The 23,970-nt window shown below is 34.7% G+C and overlaps 1 long non-coding RNA gene across 1 annotated transcript in view, besides 1 other annotated feature; it reads right to left on the bottom strand.

Annotated features, from left to right (window-relative positions):
- Nucleotides 1–1,941: 1,941 nt before the first annotated feature.
- The window catches only part of LINC01098 (long intergenic non-protein coding RNA 1098), a 261,994-nt gene continuing 239,965 nt past the window's right edge, over nt 1,942–23,970 (bottom strand). The window contains 2 exon segments of the long non-coding RNA NR_028342.1: nt 1,942–2,213; nt 16,749–16,888. This is a non-coding gene — a long non-coding RNA (long intergenic non-protein coding RNA 1098).
- Nucleotides 17,350–17,550: a silencer, noted in NCBI's record as "peak5154 fragment used in MPRA reporter construct". NCBI's record gives its function as "represses an SCP1 promoter by STARR-seq MPRAs in K562 erythroleukemia cells {active_cell/tissue: K562}" and the evidence as "EXISTENCE:reporter gene assay evidence [ECO:0000049][PMID:32103011]".

Here is a 23,970-nt window from a genome sequence, read left to right as displayed (position 1 = left end):
CTGTTTGGATATTTAATCACACTTTTTTTTTACAGCTTTGAAGGATCAAGTTAGGCTTATAGTCTTTGAATTTTTGTTGTTGTGGTTGTTTTTTAATTAACCAGGATCACTTTGAAAATAGCACAAATGTGAAATGTACTATTTCCTTGGACACATTAAATAAATTGGTCTATACGTCCTTGCTCATTTATATTGATCCACTGTATCTTACAAAGCATAGGAATTTGAAGTAGCTTTTCTTTAAAAAAAATAGCATGGTTTATTCCTTTAACATTGTTTAAGGAGTCAAAATTAGGATCATTCCAATTTTATACGATGAAAACTAACTCAGAAACAAAATGAACACAAATTATTTTATTTAACTTGGGGAATGAGTGAACAGAATACAGCTGGACCAGAAACATAACATTTTCCTAAAAATCATACATTTTTATTCCATAAACCCAAGTCCAGAACATACAGTATATGCTTTCATGCTTTCAGGTCATCAAATGAGGTGTGTGTGTGTGTGTGTGTGTGTGTGTGTGTATGTGTATATATATATTTATATTTATATATATCTCATTTATATATATAAAACTCATTTGATGAGTTATATATATATAATATACATATAAAACTTTTTAAGTTTTTTAAAATGTCAAATATAAGATTGATTATGGACCAAGGAAAATCAACAGGCTTAAAAATAATAATAAGGGCTAGTACATCAGGACTAGATTAAGTCAAGGAACCACATAACACCTAGAGATTATGTTTTCTACTTGACAAAATATTAGGATTTACAACTATAACAATACAGTGAGAGTAATGTCGTTTCACATAAAAAGAGAGTAAAGTGATTCTTTCCCCTTAGTTTAAATTTTTGTAGTCGGTAACATAACCACACAATACAATCAGTTAACAAGAACACTGTTCCCACATTGCAATAACTCTTATGTAAATTATCTAAATTATTAAATAATCAACCAATCCTTATTATATTTCTTAATATTAAGAACCATTCATTTCTAGCAATTTTTGCAGGTTGTCAAGATGTCACATTTGAACTAAATTATATGCCTTTAATCTTACTCTTACTATTTTAAATTCATATTAATACTCTGCTTGCCTTGGTAATTACACAGTATAATTCACACAAATTCTAATTAACTTTTACCATACTGGGAAGTTTTCACCACTCAAGAAGTGTTCTTTTTTCTATTTTCATGAATTCTATGTTAATAGTATCAAATACTACTTCATTCTGTGGAGAGACAACACACATTATTTTGTAAAGCACCATGGATTCCATGTTGAATTTTGCATTATGCTCATAAAATTTCAGTCAGATGGGTATCATTATCCTTATTTTAGAAAAAAAGAGTAGAGAAGAAAACTAAGTTGCTTAGAGTTTTGAGCTACAGAAAGTCAGAAATCTCTTTCCAAAGCCCAAGTCAGATCAAAACCTTTGTAATGGATTCAAGTTGTTTATATTACTAGGTTTCAAATGGAATAACTGAGAATCCAGAGCTGGAGACAGTTTGTCTCAGTTCTAAGCTTTACTTTTCACGGTATCTCTTCCTAAACCCTGTTCTTCAACCATCTCAGACTTACAACCATTGCCCTGGTGCAGTATGCGTTTCCATAGCCCTGACATTTATCTCATGCTATTGTTTCCATTAAAAAGCCATAGGGCCTTCTCCACTCTCTGAAGTCCTACTCACCCATCAAACCTCAGTGCACATTTTCACCTTCCCTTCAACACTTTCTTCTTCCCTCAGTTGTATTTAGACAGTTTTCTATCATGCCTTCCCTGTCAGTATACCCACTGTAGCACAGCATTCATTTAATCCTCCTTTATTAAACAGCAAGTAAAATTTACTAGTACCATATAACATGCTATCAAGTGGGAGCACATGGTCACAGGATTTAGCAAAAAGTAGAAACTGGACAAACATGTATTCGAAACAAAGGTTTGTTATTTATTATCCGCCATGCCAAAACTAGTATTGGTAGTGCACTGACCAGTGAAAATTAAAACATTTCTTGGGAGATTATTTTTTGACAAGCATTACACATGCTAATGACAGGTTCTGCATCACTATTGCTTGTAAGTCCGGCAGAGCCATAGCAATCCCCACAAAGTCCCGAATGTTGGGCTGGTGGTTACTCAAGTCAGTTTTGCTTTATAACTTCTTCTCTCAAAACTGCACAGTGCTTAATGCTTGAATCTAGAATAAAACATGTACATTATTAGGTTCTGCAAGTTTGAACATAAGAAAAATTGTTGAGTTGGTGATCAGCTCAGGAATAGAGTCACATGCAGCTCACAGGGTAAACAATTGTGCATCATAATCTTTTGATTAATGTTACTCAGTATTTTAGAAAACAAGTTATTCAGCTTCAAAAATAGCATTCTAGTTACCTCAGAGTGATGTTTATCTTCTGCCTACCATTTACAAATACACTTGATTTGTTAGAACAGGTTTATGTTGACAGAAAAATTGAGAAGTAGTACAGAGAGTTCCCATTTACCCCGTACCCAGTTTCTCCTAATAGTAACATTTTACATTAGTACGAGATATTTGTCACAATTAGTCAGCCAATATTGATGCATTATTATTAACTCTGGTCTAGACTTTATTCACATGTCATTAGTTTTCCCCCTAATGTCCTTTTTTCTGTTAAGAGAGCCCATCCAGGACACCACATTAAATTTAATTGCCATCTGTCCTTAGGCTTCTGTTAGCTATGACAGTTTTTCAGACTTTATTTTGATGACCTTGACAGCTTTGAGGAGTAATGGTCAAGAATTTTGTAGGATGTTCCTCTATTGGAATTTGTTTTTTTCATGATTGGATTGGGGTTATGGGTCTGGGGGGAAAGGTCAGAGAAATAAAGTGCCATATTCATCGCATTATGTGAAGAGTGCAAACTAACAACGTGATTTATCACTGTTAATGTTGACCTTTATCACCTGGCTGAGAAGGTGTTTGTCATTTTTCTGCACTGTAAAATTACCCCTTTTCTATCCTGTTTCTGTGCTGGGCTCTGGAAGGAAGTTACTTTGTGCAGCACACATTTAACAAGTGAGGAGATGTGCTTTCCCTCCTTGAGGATGGAGTACCTACATAAGTTATTTAAAAATATTATTCTGCATGGGAGATTTTAAGTTCTCTCTGTTAATTTGTTCAATACTTTACTGTAAATATATAGAGTCAGGAATATCCATTTTATATGTTGACATAATCTAATACTATTTTATTTATTTTGTTGCTCAAATTCCTCTAGCATTGCACTTTGGACATTGGGAGCTCTTTAGTTTGCTCTTGTGCTCCTTTGACATACTCCCAATCAAAGTTGTGTGTGTGCGTGTGTTTAGAATTTTCTGAAATTACAAAGTACTACAGACACATTTTGTATATTTACTATCACAGCCCTATAATCAGCCATTTCTCGTAGGTCCAATGGGTCATTTTTTATTAAAGAATGTTAGGAGAAACTAAGATCTGAGCACTAGGCATGCTCATTGCTACTGGTGTGTCATTTCTTACAGATCCTCTCATTTAAATGGACAGAGAAATCCATACGTGTATACTAACCTGTGTATATACGTTTATCTAAAGTATTTCTCTATGAAATCATCTGTATTAGGTTAAACATGTGTACTTATGGCTTCAAATTAATTTCATTACCACGTGGATTATTTTACCCTCCTTTCCTTGCTTATCTGTAAATTCACACTTCAGCCATGGGAATCCCGCCTCCCACCATGTGTCATCCATTTACTTAATTGATCAATTCTATATCCCCAAAAAGCAGTTTCAGAATGAAGCTCTACTCCCATGAAAAGTAATTTTGTTAACTATGGTACAGGTTTATGTGAATTTCCTTTTGCCTTTTTGGATTTCATTTTTTTCAAAGTTACTTACATCAGTATCTCCCCAAACTGAACCTCTTCATCGAGGCTGTTTCATACAATTGCAATACGCTTAGATTCTCATGTCTCAACCTGTATCTTTCCTGGGATTCCTTGACTTCCCAAATGGTTGTTTTCTTTATTAATGTTCACTCTTTGTGCTATAAAGGTCTGAGGGTTTTGACACAGGCAAAATGCCATGTATCTACTATTAAAGCATCATTGAGTATAGATTCACTACCCTAAAGACCCCCTATGCTCTACTTTTTACCTACCCCCTCCCCTTGGTCTCTTGGCAAGCAACTGGTCTTTTTATGGTTTCTGTAGTTTGCGTTTTCTAGAATACCATATAGTTGGATTATACAGTATGTGACATTTTCCAGACTGGCTTCTTTCATTTACCAATGTGCATTTAAGATTTATTCTTATCCTTTGGTGACCTGATTACACATTTCTTTTTAACATGGAATATTTCATCACTGTGTAAATGCACAAAAGATATGTAGGCATGCAATTGTTAAATCATATGAAAAGACTATATTTCTAGCTTTGTAAGAAACTGCCAAACTCTTCCAAAGTGACTATACCATTTTACATTCCTACCAGTAATGAATGAGAGTTCTTGTTGCTCTGCACCATAGCCAGATTTTGGTATTGTCAGGGTTTTTTGGTTTATTTGTTTTTGTTTTAGCCATTCTCTTAGGTGTATAGTGGCATCTTATTGTTATTATAATTTGCAAATTCCTAAGGATAAATGTTGAGCATCTTTTCATATGCTTATTTCCATTCGTATATCTTTCTTGGTAAAGCAGATCTTTTGACCACTTTAAATTAGTTTGTTTTCTTACTGTTGAATTTTAAGAGTTCTTTGTATATTTTGGATACACTCTTCTCTTTTTTTAAATTGTAGGAGTAAAACCATCAAAGCCTTAAAATTATGTTTCAGGGAGAGAGCATTACCAGATTAGAGTCTTGAAATAAGCTCATAATTCACCCTACTCACTACTTCTTATAGTAGTAACTTTTCAAATGTTTCTGTAATATATGTGGGACTTTTTCACACATTATCTTTGATTCTTTCTTCTGACAGATTTATGCAGGAAAACAACTGACTAAGTGACTAGGCAGTATTTCTTCTGTGGTTCCCTTTCCCAGAAATAAAAATGCTCTACTCTCTGCTGACTTCCTTAGTATTGGTATTGCCTACTCCATCTCTATTCTTACCTCTTTGGGGAATAGTATGTATTATATATTATATATCTTTGAGGCATCTTTAAGTTTGCTATTGTTCCTTCAAAATATAAGAATGTGAACATAATGCTACATAAATATGCACATATATATGTAAAGTTTAAAAATAATAAAAACCAAGTAAAAGATATAATTATTGTAGCTTTAAAAAAAGCATAATAATAATAATGACATATAATTTTGGAAAATTCCAGAAACTAAAATTGTGAACCCTGTTATATTTTCTTCATAATTTAATATTTACTTAGCACTACGTGCTAGGAATTTTTCTGAACATCTTAGATAGAGCATTGAACAGGGCAAAAAATGTCCATACCCTCATGACACTTACTTACATTCTAGAAGGATATAGACAATAAGAAAATGGATAAATAAGAAAATGTCAAGTAGTGATAAGTGGTATGATAAAAATAAAAGAAAAAATAAATGATAAATACTTGAGGTCATGAATATCCCAATTACCCTGATTTGAGTATGACACATTGTTTGCTTGTGTGAAAATATCACATGAATCCCATAAATATGTACAACTACTATGTACCCAAAAAAGAAAAAAGAAAGAAAAAAGTGAAAAGAAAAAGAAGTGGTAGCTACTAGTCTCTATTTCCAAATAACAGTAAGTTGTAATTACCTTTATAACTAAAATTATTTATTAACTTGGAAAGCTCTTTGTTTTAATGCTACAGTCTTTGTCTTCTTTTAGCTTGTATGTATCTCAAACCTTAATATATAGAATGCATTGAGTACGTATTGAATCTATTGCTTCTGTATATAAACATGAAATTCTCATGTAAGACTATATGTGAATATCAGTGTTCTTGTTAGCAGTTACAATTTACATAGATTTTCAGAGAGGATAAGAGTATTAGAAAGTATCCTTCATGTGTAAATGTGTCACATCTTCTGATCTGAGAAATCTACTTTTTATAGCCTTTGAAACATGAAATAATATCACACAATAATTATATATATTCATACCTCTGAAAACTATTGATTTAGAGTTTCATCTATGAAGCAGTGCAGTACAGCTAGCTCTGTGGCTTGCTTCAAGAACACTCAAGGATTCAGAGGTAAATGTATGCTTGAATGCACTTATAACTGAATCATGTCACTTGACATAGCCAAATGCATGCGTGAGGCCTGCAAATAGAGCTGGTTTATCACCAGCTGCATGAATCAAATGAATGCCTGCATGATTTTAACAAATGGGTGGTAAAAATACTTGTTAGGAAAAAGTAGCCTGTATCAGGATATTTATACAGAATAAATATATAAGCAAGCAAATTATGTGTATGTGTGAATGTGTGTGTGTGTGTGTGTAGCAAATTAGTATGTAAAGTAATTACTACCTGGGAAAATACAGGCCAATCACAAAACAAATGCCATGATGACAGGATACAAAAATATGCTATATAAATTTAGAGGAATGGCACTGCAACATGAATAGGGGCATATTTATTAAAAAGAAGAAATATTCCTCCAAATACACATTTCTTTCTAGACGTAGTGATAAAGGTCTAATACTTTCAGGAGAATACGTTAAAATGCATGAAGGTTTAATCTGTTCTAAGGAGATACCACTGTATTGAAATCAGTAAATGATAAAAATCACACCAGAGGTTTAAAAAACACACTTCTATGATGTGACAAGGTGGAACTGAAAATGTTTAGGTAGAAGCTCAAGTTCCATGAGTTATCTGTCACCGTAACATAAAAAGTTGGTTACAAAACATAGGTAAATTTGTTTTTAGAGAGTCTCTTAATGATTTAGTTCGTTGACTTTGGCTCTAAAATGCTTGCACAGTGCTATATCACTTGCCTAAACCTGGATATTGAAAAAAAAATGGCTCTCCCAAGGATTGTATATCTGCTTGCTTTAGATATTTCAATCAGGGAACAGAAATCTAGGGTCTTATATATAGTACAAGGTGGGGTAACAGGCAAGTGCCATATTTCTGCTGAGCAGATCGTGCTGATAATTATCCTCGATAATTTGACATTACATGATTTTTTAAATTTCAAAACTATACCTTTATACAATATTTTATAAGTATTATCAAACTACCATTCTGTGAAGCAGGTAAGATATTTCCTTCATTTTACATATGTGAGTAATCTTTTCTCAAATAGAGGTTAAGTGCTTGGCTTCAGATCCAACAACCACTATGTAGTTTACAGATAGACAGGTCTTCTGTTCCCAGGCCCTGTCAGCATGACACCACAGAGCACCTTGTTCTAACAGGGAGTATGGAGGCCCAGGCATTCTCTGCTTCAGCTGTTGTCCGTTGATCAGATAACAGCATGATTTTAATTGCTCTATATAGGAATTAAGATTTGTGAAGAGAGTAATAAAGTCATGGTTTTCTTTATTATTGACATTTTAGGGAATCTCCTAATATAATATCTTTGGAAACCCATTTTTGTTTGTAAAATGTACAACCTAGTACAGCAGAAAACAATGTTAGAATAGAACTGAAGACAACTCTAGCTGGACCAATAACATGCTAAATATTCTTGGGACATTCCTCAATTGATTTAGCGTCAGCTAAATAGGTATAGAAAAAGGCAAGTTCCAAGATACTGTTTGGCTATGAAGTAGTGTAATTAAAAACATAGGAATTACTCCCCTGTCAAAATCTTCTAAAATAAAAACCCCAAAACATTAAGGTAAATGCCACAATTCATTAAAATTATTTTTAACATTAGAAGGATTTCATGATACCAGTCTTCAGTCTTCTTGGGGGTACTGCAAAACTCGAACATTGGACTTTACGTGACTACACCCATGATTAGAATCAACATGATAAAAATGGTCTTGGGTGAAAGCATGCAGAGTGACCAGAATCCCCTGGCCTGCTTTTACAGTAGCAGGCACATTTCCATTCAAAACCTGGTCAGCTTGTTCCTTGGTATAATTATTCCACTGAAAAGGGAGCACCAAAACTGCTGAGGCTTAAGGCCACAGTTTCAAATACTGGTAACTTCTATAGCACAGGTGGGGAAAAGATGGAAAACGACTAAATTGTTTGCTTTTAGATTGGTTTAAAATTATCTGGAGAATAGCCATTTTACTTAACTATTTCAGGAAAAATGAAGTATATTTTTGGGGAGAAGGCAGTGGCAGTGTGCAGAATGGGAGATGTTGGTGTCACAATGCTGCCTAAGGGGAATCTCATCCCATGCTTGGGGCCTTGAATTCCTGACCTTAAATAAAAACCACAAATATATGTGCAATCCAAGAAATAGCAATGTGCATGCCGTTCAGTGAGGAAAGTGATAATTCATGCCACATAAGGTAAAATATCCAATTGAAAACGATGCCATGTTCTCACATTTTTATAAGAAAAAAAAAAAAACAAGACCTGAAATGAATAAAAAGAATGTTGGCCAAAGACTGAATTTATAGCTGTGAAAAGAATGTCACTTTTCCTCATCACTTAAAGAATATCAATATCTTCTCTACTTGATAGACCTTTTCAATGGCACTCTACCGAACAACTATTATGTGAAAATCCCTTTAGAAAATTAGGTCATTTTTTTCTTTCACATCCTCATTCTGGATCCTATAAGACATGTTTTGTAGCTAATAGGAAGAGTTCCAAAACTCACACTGACTTTTTATTTAATGAGAGATACATTTGATTTTCTCCTGCTACTTGAAGAGGAGATTTATTCCAACACTCTCTTTGATTCTGAACAAAAGTCAGCCCAGGCTCATTTTTGGAGATGAAAAATATCATTTATACGAGAGAAAACCATCAAATCAGTGAACCACTCCAACATACATGAGTGTGGTTTGGGTCACTGTGCAGCTTGCTTCCCCAGGAAGTGTGAAGGGCTGCATTGTGCCTGGGAATTTGGAGACGGAAAAAAGGAAGGACATTCCAGCAAATAGAAATCAGAGGGACTAGATCTTTTGCAAATAACACAGATTTTTTTAAGGAAAAAATATGTGCTTCAGAAATGTCATGTTCCTTATCTGTATCTGAGACCTAAACTGACTTGAAATCTGAAGACAACATGGTTTTTAAAAACATCATCTGTTCCCTAAAAAATAAAAATATATGTTACTGGGATTTTTTGTTGTTTGTTTTAAGGGATGGTTTCATGATTTCTCAAGGTCCATTTCTTAGTTTGTTTTGTGCTACTATAATACAATGCCACATATCAGGTAATATAACGAACAGAAACTTATTTCTTATATAGTTCTGGAAGTTCAGAAGTCTAAGATCAAGGTGCCGGCAGGTCAGGTGTCTGGTGAGAGTCCAGTCTCTGCTTTTCCAGGTGCTGCCTTGAACATTGCATCCTCAGTATGGGAAGGATGCTGTGTCCTCACAGGGCAGAAGGTGCAAAAGGAAAAGCGATACACTCTTTCCAGCATGCCCTTTTATAAAGGTATCTAATTCCACTCAGGTAGGCTCTACCCTCACGACTTAATCACCTCCTGAGGACCCCACCTCCTAGTACCATCACTAGGGCCACTAAGTTTCTTTCTTTTTCTTTCTTTTTTTGTGAGACGAAATCTTACTGTTGCCCAGGCTGAAGTGCATTAGCACCACCTCGGCTCACTGCAACCTCCACCTCCCAGGTTCAAGCAATTCTCATGCCTCAGCCTCCCTAGTAGCTGGGATTACAGGCGCACACCACCACACTTGGCTAATTTTTGTATTTTTAGTAGAAACAGGGTTTTGCCATGTTGGCCAGGCTGGTCTCAAACTCCTGACCTCAGGTGATCCACCCACCTCAGCTTCCCAAAGTGCTGAGATTACAGGCATGAGCCACCATACCCAGCTGTCCACTAAGATTCAACATCTGAATTTAGGGACATATTTAAACCATAGCAGTCCATGTTTTAGTGCCATCACTCTAATAATGTAACTATTAGTCACATATTTAGAAGCAACTCATGTAGCTTTATATAAGATAATTTTAAAAAAAGGATCTGGTGACATACAGGAAATGCACAATAAAAAGCCTGTAATATTTATATTTATATATGATATATATCATATTTTAATTTTGCGTGCCTTTGTTTTAATGGGAAGAAAATAAATATTACCTATTTGTGAGATATAAGTCCAAAATTTACTTGAAAAATATAATTTTAAACTCTAAATTTATTATAATGAGAGAATACAAAAAATACTGGATCACATTTGTTTTAATGAGATCGGGACTTGAGGAAGAAAAGTCTGGCACAAAGATTTACTTTTCCTAGATAAGGTTTCAACAAACACTAATCAAATTTCATACAAAATCATATTTTCAGTTCACTTTTATAACTCTCTAGTGTTGTTCTGTCTTTCAATAAGAGGTAATTGGAAAAGGCACTATGCATTTTACAAATGTTTTCCCTTGGATTTCTGAAAAGGTGACTTTTTCAAAAAGTAAAAGTCAAAGCATCTCTAAGTCAGAAATCTCATATAATTGAAGCTTCCAGCTGCATGCATTTTTAATACCACAGACAACATAGTAATTGACATATGTGATTCTGGATCACACTTCACTTCAGATTTTAAATTATTTTAGTCTGCCGAAATGTGTTTAAGTGCACTAACCAGATATGCTTTCAGTAATTCGGCTTTTAATGACTATCCTTCACTTCAGAGCTTTGATGTTAAAATAGTCTAAGAAATAATGTAATTTCTCCACATGCTGGTTGGGTTATAGTCAGATGTTTCTTAAATATTTCATGTAAGAACTCTCCCTGACCCCTACCACGGTGAAAATGTGAGGAGATTTTACTTAAAATAATTTTATATCTTGTAGTTCACTAAATTAACTGGAGTGATCAGGACCTCAACCAAAATTTATTGCTGAACCTAAAATAAGATCAAAGCAATAAATCAAAAGGATATAGCAGATGTAAAAATACAAATTACAAGGATAAGTTCAGAATAATTAATATTGGCAAAATTGCACTGCAAAAGACCTTAGAAGGTGTAAAGCTCATAGTACATTAAAATCTAAAATTTTAAATCGGCCTCTGAACCCAGAAAAGACTACTAATTCCTACTTATTTGCTGTGAAGCCACTAGGCATGGTACCACAGAGCTTTATTAACAATTGCAGTGTCTAATTTCTCTGTGTATTTCCTCTAGTGCCTTAAACTTCTTGCAACCAGGCTGTTCAATGGGTAGGCACATATATGAACATTCAAAAGATTCCAATATCAACTGTCATGTATATCAGCAAACATCCTGGCTTCTATACTCTTCTTAAATTGTTTACACAAAATATTTTTTAAAAAATTTTCTAATCTGCACATCCTGCCCATGTACCCTGGAACTTAAAAATAATTTTTTAAAATAAAAAGTAGGCTGTGTTATGTCACCTATAGTATTGAGTGAGAAGTGATGATGATTTCCAGTTAACATATGTAGAAAATGAAGCTAAAATACATTAAAGAATTGGTTCCACAGGAACAGAAAACCAAATACCACATTTCTCACTTATAAGTGGGAGCTAAACACTGAGTATACATGGACACAAAGAAGGGAACAACAGACACTGGGACCTATATGAGGATGGAGGGTGGGAGGAGGGTGAGGACTAAAAAACTACCCATCAGGTATTATGCTGATATTGTGGGTAACAAAATTATCTGTACACCAAACCCCTGTGACTTGCAATTTATCCGTGTAACAAACTGGCACACGTACCCCTTGAACCTAAAATAAAAGTTGGAAGGAAAAAGCTGATTCAAGTTTGCACAGTTAGTTAGTATTTCTGAACATGGAGGTTCAGACTTTGAGTTCAGTCTTTCCAACTGTACAACTGGAAGAGAGTGTGCTTGATACCTGGTCATGAAAAGCAGGAAATAAGTCAGATAAAAGTAGCGGACTAGTTCCAGGGAATCTGTAACAGGAGCCAAGAAACAGATCAATGAGAGTGCAAACTAATTGTAACTGTAAATGAATGCAAGAATCAAAGTATTTTAAAAAATGAATTATAAGAGTGTTACCAACAAAATAATGAAGAGACAGTAAAAGAAAGATGCAAAAATATTATCTGGCTAAAATTATGACACATCAAGTGAGCATCAATAGAAAAGTTTAAGAAAAAAACAGGAGATTTAACAAAAAAACAGGAGAAAAAAAATGAGATTCTTGGATGTTTGTCATACTATGACCTCTTAACTAAACTGTGGGTTCTTCATAAAAATATATTTATATATTTTTGTATTCCCAGGTAAAATTTTTTATTTTGAAAAACATTTGATACAATAATTTGATTTCAATTTATTTTAGTTGATCATTAAATATTAAATATGAATATTAAAAGATGGAAATTGGCTTGGGGTTACAAAGACACAAAGTAAAATGGTGGTTGCCAGAGCTGAGGGTAGGGAGAATAGGTAGGTATTGTTTAAAGGTTACAAATTTCAATTTGGGATAATGAAAAAGACCTGGAGATGGATTGTGGTGATGGTTGAAAAATAATAGTAAAAGTGTACTTAATGCCACTGAACTGTACATGTAAAAATTGTTACAAGGTAAACTTTATGTTATGTATCTTTACAAAAAGGAAAACTAAAAAGTCTGTTAGGGAGTAGAATAAAGTAGGATTGGCAGAAGAGGTGTTAAACTGCAATGCGGTCACAACCAGGACCTCAGCTGACTCCACAGGGAGTGCCGGACTCCAGTGTCCATTCAGAGCTGACCCACCTTGAAGACAAGAGCAGAAATCTTTATACCATCCACATCAAACAGACATTGAGTAGAGGCTGCTTTCCATACACTTGATGAAGCCACTCTGTTCTTCAGTGGGTGATTTCAATTCCAAGGTGGTAGACCTCACTTACAGTGATCAGCCAGCAACACTCCCAGCAGTTGGAGAACGAGTGCTTCGGTCTTAAAGGGGGTTTGGGCAACGTCCTGTAGCATCCATTGCAGCCCACAGTCTGTATCTATCCCTTATTCAACCCCCTGCCATACAATAGCATTGCTCCTTCATTCATAGTTGGCTCTCTCTCAGCTTTAAGAGCCATCCCGGATGCATGGTAGGATGGAACTCCTGTGTAACAGGTGGGTGCTTCCATACCAGTAACTTTCTTGACTTCTGGCATAATCTCCACCCATCTTGACCAAGCACTCTCATAATCCAGTTCTTTCCATGTTCCCTCAACTCCTCTTGTTACATTTTGGCTAAGTTGTGCAGCTCCTTCAGTTCTAAACTGCATTATTAGTGGCATGAAGTAATAACATTTGTAATATTTCTGGTAACTTTTATAATGTTTACCTGTTTCTTAGTTGTCTTTCCAGACTCCCCTCCAACCCGGTTCTGCACAAAACACTACTAATTCCTTGGTTAACCTTCAATAACTAAAGACACATCCTCTATGGGACAAGAAAATAGGAGCAACACTTTTCATAGTTTTGTTGTGCACTTTATGCTGTATATATTAATTACTGAGAGGCAAGTTTTATCTCTATTTTATAGAAGAGGAACCTGCAGCTCTGAGAAGTTAATTGACTTGAAAAGGATAAATAGCTAAGAAATAGTAGAGAAATAATTTGGCTATAGAATCTGTATATTTAACAACTACTTTCTTATTAGTAATATTAATGAAAGCTACCATTCATTGAGCATTTACCATGTGACATGAATAGTGAATGGCATTTCATAGATTTTAAATTTAACGCATCAATCCTATAAAGTAAAATTATTCCTATGTTTTATAAAAAACCTTGCACTTTTGAGAGGCAAAACTCCTTAACACAAGCAAACATTGTCTACCATCTTTGCCCTAAGTCACTCTATTTTTTGGAGGTGTCATGCCCATCATGAATCCCTCTTGGAAAGCTGAGTAGTGTTCAAAAGCACCAAAAGTTGGCTGGGTGCAATGGCTCACACCTGTAATCCTAGCACTTCAGGAGGCCAAGGTAGGAGGATTGCTTGAGAGCAGGAGTTTGAGATCAGTCTGGACAACATAGCAAGACCTCATTTCTACAAAAGTAAAAAAAATTTTAAAAATCCAAAAAAAATTACCAAATAAATTACATATATATGTACACACATATTCATGCACACATATATATGGGATCATTCATGTAAAAATCGTTCTTTGGGGAATGTCATTGGAAGCATTTCAACTTAGAAAAAAAGTCACAATAGAATAGCCAGGCTGATAAATTTCCATGCTTTATTCTCCACTACAAAATAGTTGAAATATGTCATCTTCTATTTAATATGAAACATAATCTGTTTTGAAATTAATATACGGAATGCTCTGTGCTGCCTTTAGACTGCTGAGAAAAAAAAAATCAGAAACCCCTTTAAAGGGGAGTATACTAAATACATTATTGTTTTTCCAAAAAGTCCTTAAAGTTGTTTAAGAGATAAATGGAATTTTACTACTATTTTAATAAGGCTTGTATGATTTAAATTGGTAAGCCTAAATCACTTTATTACAGCAGTTTCTAAAGTAACATTTAATTATCTGTAGTTAATAGTATAATCTAATGAACAAAGCTATTATGCTCAAGGTTCCCAAAGGTAGAGGAAAAACTTACACTGGTCAGTAAGTTCTAGATTTAATAGTATAGGGGTAATGTGTGTGTGTGTTATCTGTATGTGTGTTTAAAATATATGTAATCCTCAATATTGTATCAATTTGCAAAACAGAAACTTAATCACTAAAACTGAAACACAATCTGAGAAAATAATAGATTGGCTAGTACAGTATTTTAGATAATAACCATAAAATCTTCGAAAAATTCAGTTAAGTGTATGGTGCCAATGCACTTGATTTGAAAAGCTTTAAAATGCTGAGTTGGACCTGCATAATGAGGAGCACATTCTAAAGTCACACTTCATTTGGAAATATGTGCGACAGGCATTCTATGTCCTACCACATAGGTCTGATGGTAAAAAAAAATGGGTTAATTTTACAAAAGTCTTTCTAAAATAGGCTCAGTAATGCTTACTTCTAGAATCATGCTTTGTTTAATCTGCAAATACTTATTTGAAGATAACAAGTAGTGACTGCCACAAATCAAATTTGATCTTTTTCAATCTTGTGCATAGGACAGAAATGTCAGAAGTAAAATGCAATGAAGCAGCACAATCACTGGGGTCATTCGATGCGAGTGTACAACTGAGGCTGCAATCTTTTGAAAGGGATTTTAGAGTAATGCCCTTTTATCTAGAAATTTATACCTCAATTGTTTTAATATAACAGATCACAGGAAGTAAGGGTTCTAAATAGAATATGTGTTAATACCATTTTAGAATATTTGGAAGAGAAATCTTTTATTAAGTGACCTATAAATGTTTTGTTTCAATTTTTGGTTCTTAATAATATATCTACTGTATTGCAGAGATGAAATTAGTCAGAAAAGAAAGTAGTTAAATAGAATGGATTCAAACCTTCCCACTGATGAATACCAAGTTGAATATTACCATTGGTAGAAAGAAGTAATCTGTATTAAGATCTTTTATGTACATTTCTGTTTTATACTACAAGCGTGCACCTTTTCCAAATCTTACTTCTGTCTCTAAAAAAAGAAATCAGTCTCAATGTAATATTAAAAACCAGTCTAATGCTCACTTCACATTTCAAATATAGATGTACCTAGTTATAATTATATCAATAATGGAAAAAGAAAGTGAATTGTACTACAATGGAAAATTTCCAAACTATGTAGTTGGTATTATAGCAAAAACTTATAAATGTGGCTTGTGTTCCTGACAGGAAAGGAAGGGCATGTGTAAAGAACCTTGAGCAAAAATAGGGCATGCAACACCTTCGTGCTGAATACGCACATCTCCACCAAGCAACAGACAAGCTATTATAAGTTTATTGTTTCAGGATATAAGCCTATTATACCCTGCAAATGAAGATACTGACATGCTGCTGTATTGGTTGAAAGATTAACATTCACAAAGAACAGCAACAAGTGTGCCAAATTAAATATACTAAAATACTAAAGCTTACCATTTAATATGTCCTCTACTGTAAATGTGCATACAGTGTACTTTCAATGGCCTCCGTGGCCCTGTTAATAATGTAGTGGCATGTCAGTGTCGGAGATGTAATTTACATCTTTGCTATTTGGCAATAAACCATAGCAGGGTGTATTTTTCTTAACCATTAATAAGTACGTATGGCATTGATGAAACAGTGAAGGAGAATATGTTGAGGAGCCTGTTTGTATTTTAGTCACTCATGCCCTGGCAAAATTTATTAGACTTAGGAAACTCTATTCAAAATACTTCATTAATATATTTTTTAATTGTAATACATAGCAAATTTTTTAAAATGTATCTCCGATCCCGATAGCATTTTTGCACTCCTTTTCATTTAAAGTTTTATTTAGTCACACTTTCCCTTTGTTTAAAATAACCAGTCTCCTTGTATATATCAATGGTTGATTAATTCCATGGGTACGAGTTATTATATCTCTCTCTTCCGACTTTTCCAAATATGTTAACTATTGCTAGCAATACCAAACTCACAGGCTTGTTGTGAGAATCAAACCAATATAATATTTTAAAGCTTATATCGTAATGTGTAGCATATAAGAGGAAAAACATGTTAAGTAATAATGCTTATGACAATAATCTCTACCTCACATTAGCATTGCATACTCACCTGGCATTTAGAAAAAATATACTTCAGAGAATCAGACACATTCTGTAGGCTCTGGAAAACATACATTGACTTGCTCAACCCCTTTCCCGTGCCCCAGTGATGACAATCCATCATTCTAGCTGACCTCATTGTCTTCTCTCCTAAGAAAAGAAAATTCAACAGCTTGTTTTGCTTTCTCTGCAAGGAATGCACACTATCCCAAAGGCCCTCACTACTTTGATGAATAACACAGAGCATAATAAAATCAGGTTTTCTGACTCACATGTAAAAGGAACATGCATGCTACCTGTAGCTACGGCCAGACTGTGTGTGTGTTTCTGCATGTAGATTTCTACTTGTAGTACAGAATTCTTTACTTTTAAATACAAGGATGCTTTTACCCCACTGCTTATATGCACATCCATACCAAAGGTCATATTTGTGTATTTATTCAACATGATGACTTATCTTAGTAAAACTTTATATTTAGTCTTTTTAGAGTCAACAATGTTAACTGGCTTCAAATGGGCTATTCAAAAAGGTTAAGAAGTAAGTTAACTGACTTGGTAAAACATTTGGACCCAAAAGTTTTTGTAACTGCTCATTATAAGATGAAAAAATGAGAAAATAAAGTAGAAGGGAGAAAATTATGGTTATCATTTGGAAGGGACTGTGGTTTCAGCTTCCCAGGCTAGCAACAGAACTGATAAGGATGAGACTCAACTTCCCCACAAAATGACAAGCAAGGGATGACTCAGGCCATGCTTTTGGGTTCTTACTCTTTCTATTCATAACTGTTCAACATTTCTCTGAGAAAATGCAACATAAAGACTGTATAGCCAACATACTGGCTTTTTCCCTTCTATTTAGAAGAGCAGGGGAGAGACAGAATATAAAAATTTTAAAAGTAAAATCCTGGTACTCAGCCTCTGTGATAATAGGACACATATGAGAGCTCTTTCATTTGGTGGCTTTAAAGTCTGACTCTGCTTGAAAGTCTCAATATATGCAAGTATATATCTTAAAGGGATTAATTCTTTATTGGCTTTGAGTGGCATTTGTAAAGAATGGTTTGCATTTTTAAAATAAAATCACCTGTCTAAATGTAACTATAATGCTAGGAAAAGCATATTATAAAAGCTAGGTGTTAGAATGAGAGAGGAGATAAAATAATGTGACACAGAGTATCACGGTTGTGAGCTGAATAAGTGAGCAATGGCCACATGTGAGATTCTTTATACATTTATTCATTCATGCATGCAGTAATGCATGAATTCACTGTGTGGGTCACTCTTGTAGGTACTAGAGATACAGCAGCAAACAAAACAGAGAAAATCTATGACATCACAAATTTTACAGTCTGGTGGAATCTGTAAAAACTGAAGGCAAGTTTTTGTTTCCCATCTGATTCAGAGAACTTTAAATTCCATTTTCAATAATCACTCATTATTTTCATCTGAAAATAATACATGACAGTTGATGAATTTCAAAGGGCTAGATTTAAAAATAAGAAAATGAATGTAAAAAGCCAGATTATGGATAGTAAATAATTCTTTAAAACACTTTGAAACATCTATTCTTTTCTTTTTTGAGACAGAGTCTCACTTTGTTGCCCAGGCTGGAGTACAGTGGTGCTATCTCGGTTCACTGCAACCTCCGCCACACGGGTTCAAGCAATTCTCCTGCCTCAGCCTCCTGAGTAGCTGGAAGTACAGGCGCCCACCACCATGCCCAGCTAATTTTTGTATTTTTAGTAGAGATGAGGTTTCACCATGTTGGCCAGGCCAGTCTTGAACTCCTGACCTTAGGTGATCCACCCACCTCAGCCTCCCAAAGTGCTGGGATTACAGGTGTGAGCCACCACGCCCGGCTGAAACATCTATTCTTTACTGTAGGCTATTATTATACAAGTGCCCTGATTTATGCCCATTTACTATTACAAAGCACTAAAATGATTCAAAACTGAAGACTTTCTCTATGTTGGTGAACTTGCACATCTCTCAAAGCAAAACAAGAAACTATTTTGGAATGCTTCATATAAATGCTTAAGTTGGAGACCCAATGCCCACCTACCTTCCTGTGTATCAATGAAGTTACCAATATTTTAAGAAATTTTGTTAGTTCACTTTTTGTGGGCCATATTGTTTATGAAAAATACTGTCAAACTGTTAACATTGTTTTTGAAAAATACTGTCAGACTCAATCATTTTGGTGGGTTTCACTATAAAAGCTAAAAGTAATTTTTCTTCTTTATAAGATATAAGATGGTGCTAGGGCTTTTATTACATTTATATTTTAACAATTCTGACCAAGACAGCCATATAAGGAGTAGAATTAAATTTTTAAAAGATGTTTAGGCCGGGCACGGGGGCTCATGCCTGTAATCCCAGCACTTTGGGAGGCTGAGGCGGGCGGATCATGAGGTCAGGAGATTGAGACCATCATGGCTAACACGGTGAAACCTCGTCTCTACTAAAAATCCAAAAAAAATTAACCGGGCGTGGTAGCGGGCGCCTGTAGTCCCAGCTACTCGGGAGGCTGAGGCAGGAGAATGGTGTGAACCCAGGAGGCAGAACTTGCAGTGAGCCAAGATCACACCACTGCACTCCAGCCTGTGCAACAGAGTGAGACTCCGTCTCAAAAAAAAAAAAAGCTTATATGACTGTTGTTATGTATTATTTATAAATGTACTTTCTGGAATTATATTTTTTAATCAAATGCCAGAACAAAAATATACTTACAAATATTAATATAAAATTAAATCTTAGTGTTTTATACATATTATAATAGCTTTGTAAACAAATAAGAATTTCTCTTCACAAAGATTCTGGGATCACTAGAAATCTTGCCAAAAGAGCCACCTCCTCTCAAGTTTGGCTTGATGAGTCTTAAGTATCATGTAATCTGAGCAAGATGTGGTTACAGAATGTGCCACATCCACATGGCAGAGTGCTCTCTAGGCCCCCCATCCTGACTGACAGACCCTGGAGCTCTGAACAACTACTGAGATCTGGCGGATCCATCTATAAGATCCAGTTTGGTAATGATGTCTTTCTAGCTGTAAACTGATTCCATTTTAGGACAAACAATAATAATGAGAGGTACATAATCTAACCATCTATAAGAATTTATTTACATAAGAAATCTGGAGGCAGTAATTAAAATTAGAACAAAATAGATATAAAATTTGTGATCTGAAAATTAAATTTTGAGTGGTAAAGTGATGCTACATATTAAATCTGTAGTTTCTATGTTAAATCTCAATTTTACCCTTGCTTCCCCCACTGAAGACCATTGTGCATTATTAACATGAACTTAGTCATTCCATGTATTATCAAACAACAGTTTGAAGAGTATTACCTGTTATTATAGTCATTAACCCATTGTGCCTTAAGCATTAAACTTGAATATCTCATTTCCCTACTTAACAAGTCTACCACCTAAGCCTTGTACAAAGAAGGCAGGGGAAAAAGGTTTTGACAATCTTTAAAAACTTTACTACAATTATTAAATTTATTTTTAGTATGTTAACATTATTATTATTTTTAAATTACTTACAATTTAGAAATTTTTTCACAGTATACCATGAACACCCTTAGGTATACCCTCATATCTCAGATCAAATAAAATTTGAACATACTCCTGTGTGAAATGCTCTTTGTAAAAACCATTGTAATATCTTCCTGAAATGGAAGATGCCGCTAATAACATTGTTTATATCCTTGGTGGAGAGCTGACTACGAGGTTCTCACACTAACCAGGCCTCTCAAAGGAAGACAAAGTGGTACCACGTTGTTAGGAATTCATGGTCCTCAAGTGAAGCAGGAGACACATTTTCTCCACAAGAAAGTCTCTTCAAATTAAGGCCCTGATGCCTGCAAATTAGGATCAAGTAAGCTTTTTAATCCAGCAAAGCAAGTATTCAAGACTAAAGGAGAAATAAATGCACTTTCAGAAAAATAAAAACTGACTCATCAACACGGTAAATACAATTTCACTGAAGGAACCTACAAAGGCATACTTCAGGAAAAAGGAAAATAATCTTATAAAGAAGCTGAGATGAAAGAAGAGTTAACAACAAAAATAAAATTGTTTAACATACAGGTAAATCTAAAACATTTTCTCATAATAATCATGTGTGCTACCTGGAATTAAGAAAAAGACAAAACTAAAATACAAGATCAAAAATAGCATATTGGCATGCCTTGATCCAGAGCACTTAATGCAAAATAGGCTGTAGAATTAAGATATATTCAAGTTATAAAAGGACATTAACAATATATAAATGCAGTGCAAAAACAGTTAAGAACATGGCCCTTTTGAAAAAAAATACACAAATAACATTCCCCCTTAAGATACATTTTCTGAGGCATACTTTTTGCATGTCATATTCTCAAGAATAAACTATGGAGAATAGGATTTTTTTTCTTGTTGTTTTTGGTTTGGTTGTTGCTATTATTTATTCTTTCTTAGCACTCTCAGCAATCCTCATGCTATTTCTACAAAATGTGAGTTGGATTTTACATGATGCCCTTTTCTAACTTTATGAATTGCTTTTCTCTGTAAAGAAGATCATAGGTTCTACAAACACAATGTCTCATTCCAGCTAGTGCAGCCCTTGCAGGGAGGGATCAGTTTTATCTTCCAGATCAGCAGGACAAATATGAATAGAACTAGCTTTGTATTGTCTGAGCAATATTACTAGATAGCTTTGCATTGCCAAAATATTACTGTTTAAAATAACTTTCTTAGATTTCTGTCTTAACATCAGTTACTTAATACTTCACACCAAAATTGAAAATTGCACTATTATAAACCATTTAACAAAGAAAAACACTATATATATGCACACACACATATATATACACACATATATGTATACATATGTATATCTTTTATGCACATATATGTGCATATATATACACCTATACGTATATGTGCATATATATACACCTATACGTATATGTGCATATATATACACCTATACGTATATGTGCATATATATACACCTATACGTATATGTGCATATATATGCATATATATACACATATACGTATATGTGCATATAGGAGAATTTTATGCACATATGCATATGTGTGTATATATATACATATGCATACATGCATGCATATGTATATACATATGCATACATGCATGTATATGTGTACATATATTCATATACATGTATATGTGTACATATATTCATATACATGAATATGTGTACATATACATATACATGCGTGTATAAACATATACATATATACATATAGATATCTATGTGCATTTGTAATTTCCAATGAGTATTTTATGCACATATATTGTTTACAGTTTTTAACCATTAGAATGAGGCATGAGGACAATGCTATCAATATGATTTCATTCTATCTTTCCAAATACTATGAAATTTTGATTCATGAGCAAATTGCGATGTGGATGCTTCCGGTAATCACAAATGGCATCTTAGATATTTAGACTCAGGCCCCAATTGACAATAAATGTCAGTTATCCGAGTAAATTCTGAGCCTACAAAGGTACAGATTTTGAATGTAGCTCGGCATATCAGTTTGAGAGAATGGAGATTGAGAGATTACTTTGGAGAGTGTTGCTGCTGTGCTGAGTTCCAATATTCTCTCCAAATGTGGATGACCGGAAAGATGCTACCTGCTTAAGCCTAGAGACAGGTGACTCACAAAGGTCACCTTGATCTGTGTTTCATGGAGTTTGAAGGTTAGCCATCAAGAAGAAAGAAATTCTGCCATAATTCTTTGGTAGGAAATTCACTGCTAGAATCTGTCAAGATAAATGATAGGTAAATGTTTCTTATAATTCAGATAATTTGTCATGCAGGGAAGTGTCGGCCTGGAGCCAATGTGATTCCTGCTCAAGAGTATCATGTGTGTATACAGTGAGACTCAAAAGAGTTTTTCCATGAAAGGGACCCCTGAAAAACCAGAGGTATACAGGGAGTAGTACTCAGGGGAAGGGTGCCTGTAGCCACGTCATGGCAGGGAGTCCAAGCAGAGGCGCTTTAGTGATACCACGAAACCTTAAATTAGGCTAGTAACTGGAAAAGTCCATGCTAACAACCTGCCAGACATAGTGAATGCAGACCCATTCTAGAGCAGCACCTCTAAGTAAAAGTCTACCCCCTGACCATGCCCCTCTCTCTGTTTCAATTTGAGAGGCTTTGCAAAAAGTCAAATGGAAAAGAGAGAACAAGCTGGTCACGCCTATTTGCAGGCAACAGCCTTCCTGAAGCCAGTCTTACATGTCACGGTGAAGATTTAAATCAAATGCATAGCTATACATATTATGAAGTCAGGGCATTCTAATAGCATGTATGACTTAAAGTTATCACAGCACTCTCCAAGAGTGAACAGAAGAGTCATAGGCCTACCCAGATTCTCTTTTAGTGGCAAAAAAAAAAAAAAAAAAAAAAAATCTTTCCTCTTTGAATAATGTCAAATGGTCCATAAGGGCAAATAATAAGCAGATCTATTAAAAGAATCTCACATGACATGTCTGTTCACCATTTAGGCGCCATTTGCAAGAAGGAATTATGTCTTCTGCTTAAAGTAGGGTAGAACAAACATTAGACTAACTTATTTAGCCTATGAAGATAGAATGAAATGAGAAAAAAAACACACTTTTTTTTCATGTTGTGCTTCTCAGTATTACCATCTGGCAGCTATCCTGTGACAATTACTGTAGGAACAAGTGGCTCGTATCCCAGCAGTCACTGAAGCACACAATGGGTATTTAGAAGAAAGAGAATTTCCAATCATATGTAACACAGATGTCAGAAATGTAGAATGGTTGGATAGAGCTTTGTTTTTTTTCTCCAAATTTCACAAGGCAAACAACACATTTTGCTCACTCTATACTTTTGAGTACAATGATTAATCTAAATCAGTGTTTCTGTACCTCAGCACTGCTGACATTGTAAGCCAGATACTACAAGACTGCCCTGTGCCTTGTAGGGCATGTAGCAGTATCCCTGGCCTTTACATACTAGATTCTGGCACCAGTCTGCAATTGTGACAATTAAAATATTGCCAGACGTTGCCAACTGTCTCCCACACAGTACAACTTCCCCTCTCCCTCACCAACCTTAGAACCACTGGTCTAAAAATTCAGATCGCATATCAAAATCTTGATTGGCAATGAAATTCTAACATACTTTATTTCTTTTAGCATCTTTTAAAAACTCATGGTAATTCAACACAAAATGACATTGCTTGGT

This window comes from Homo sapiens, chromosome 4, assembly GCF_000001405.40.
Source record: "Homo sapiens chromosome 4, GRCh38.p14 Primary Assembly".
In the NCBI taxonomy this organism is placed as follows: domain Eukaryota; kingdom Metazoa; phylum Chordata; class Mammalia; order Primates; family Hominidae; genus Homo; species Homo sapiens.
Note: the sequence above shows the minus strand (reverse complement) of the source record. Positions and strands in the feature narration are given on the sequence as shown.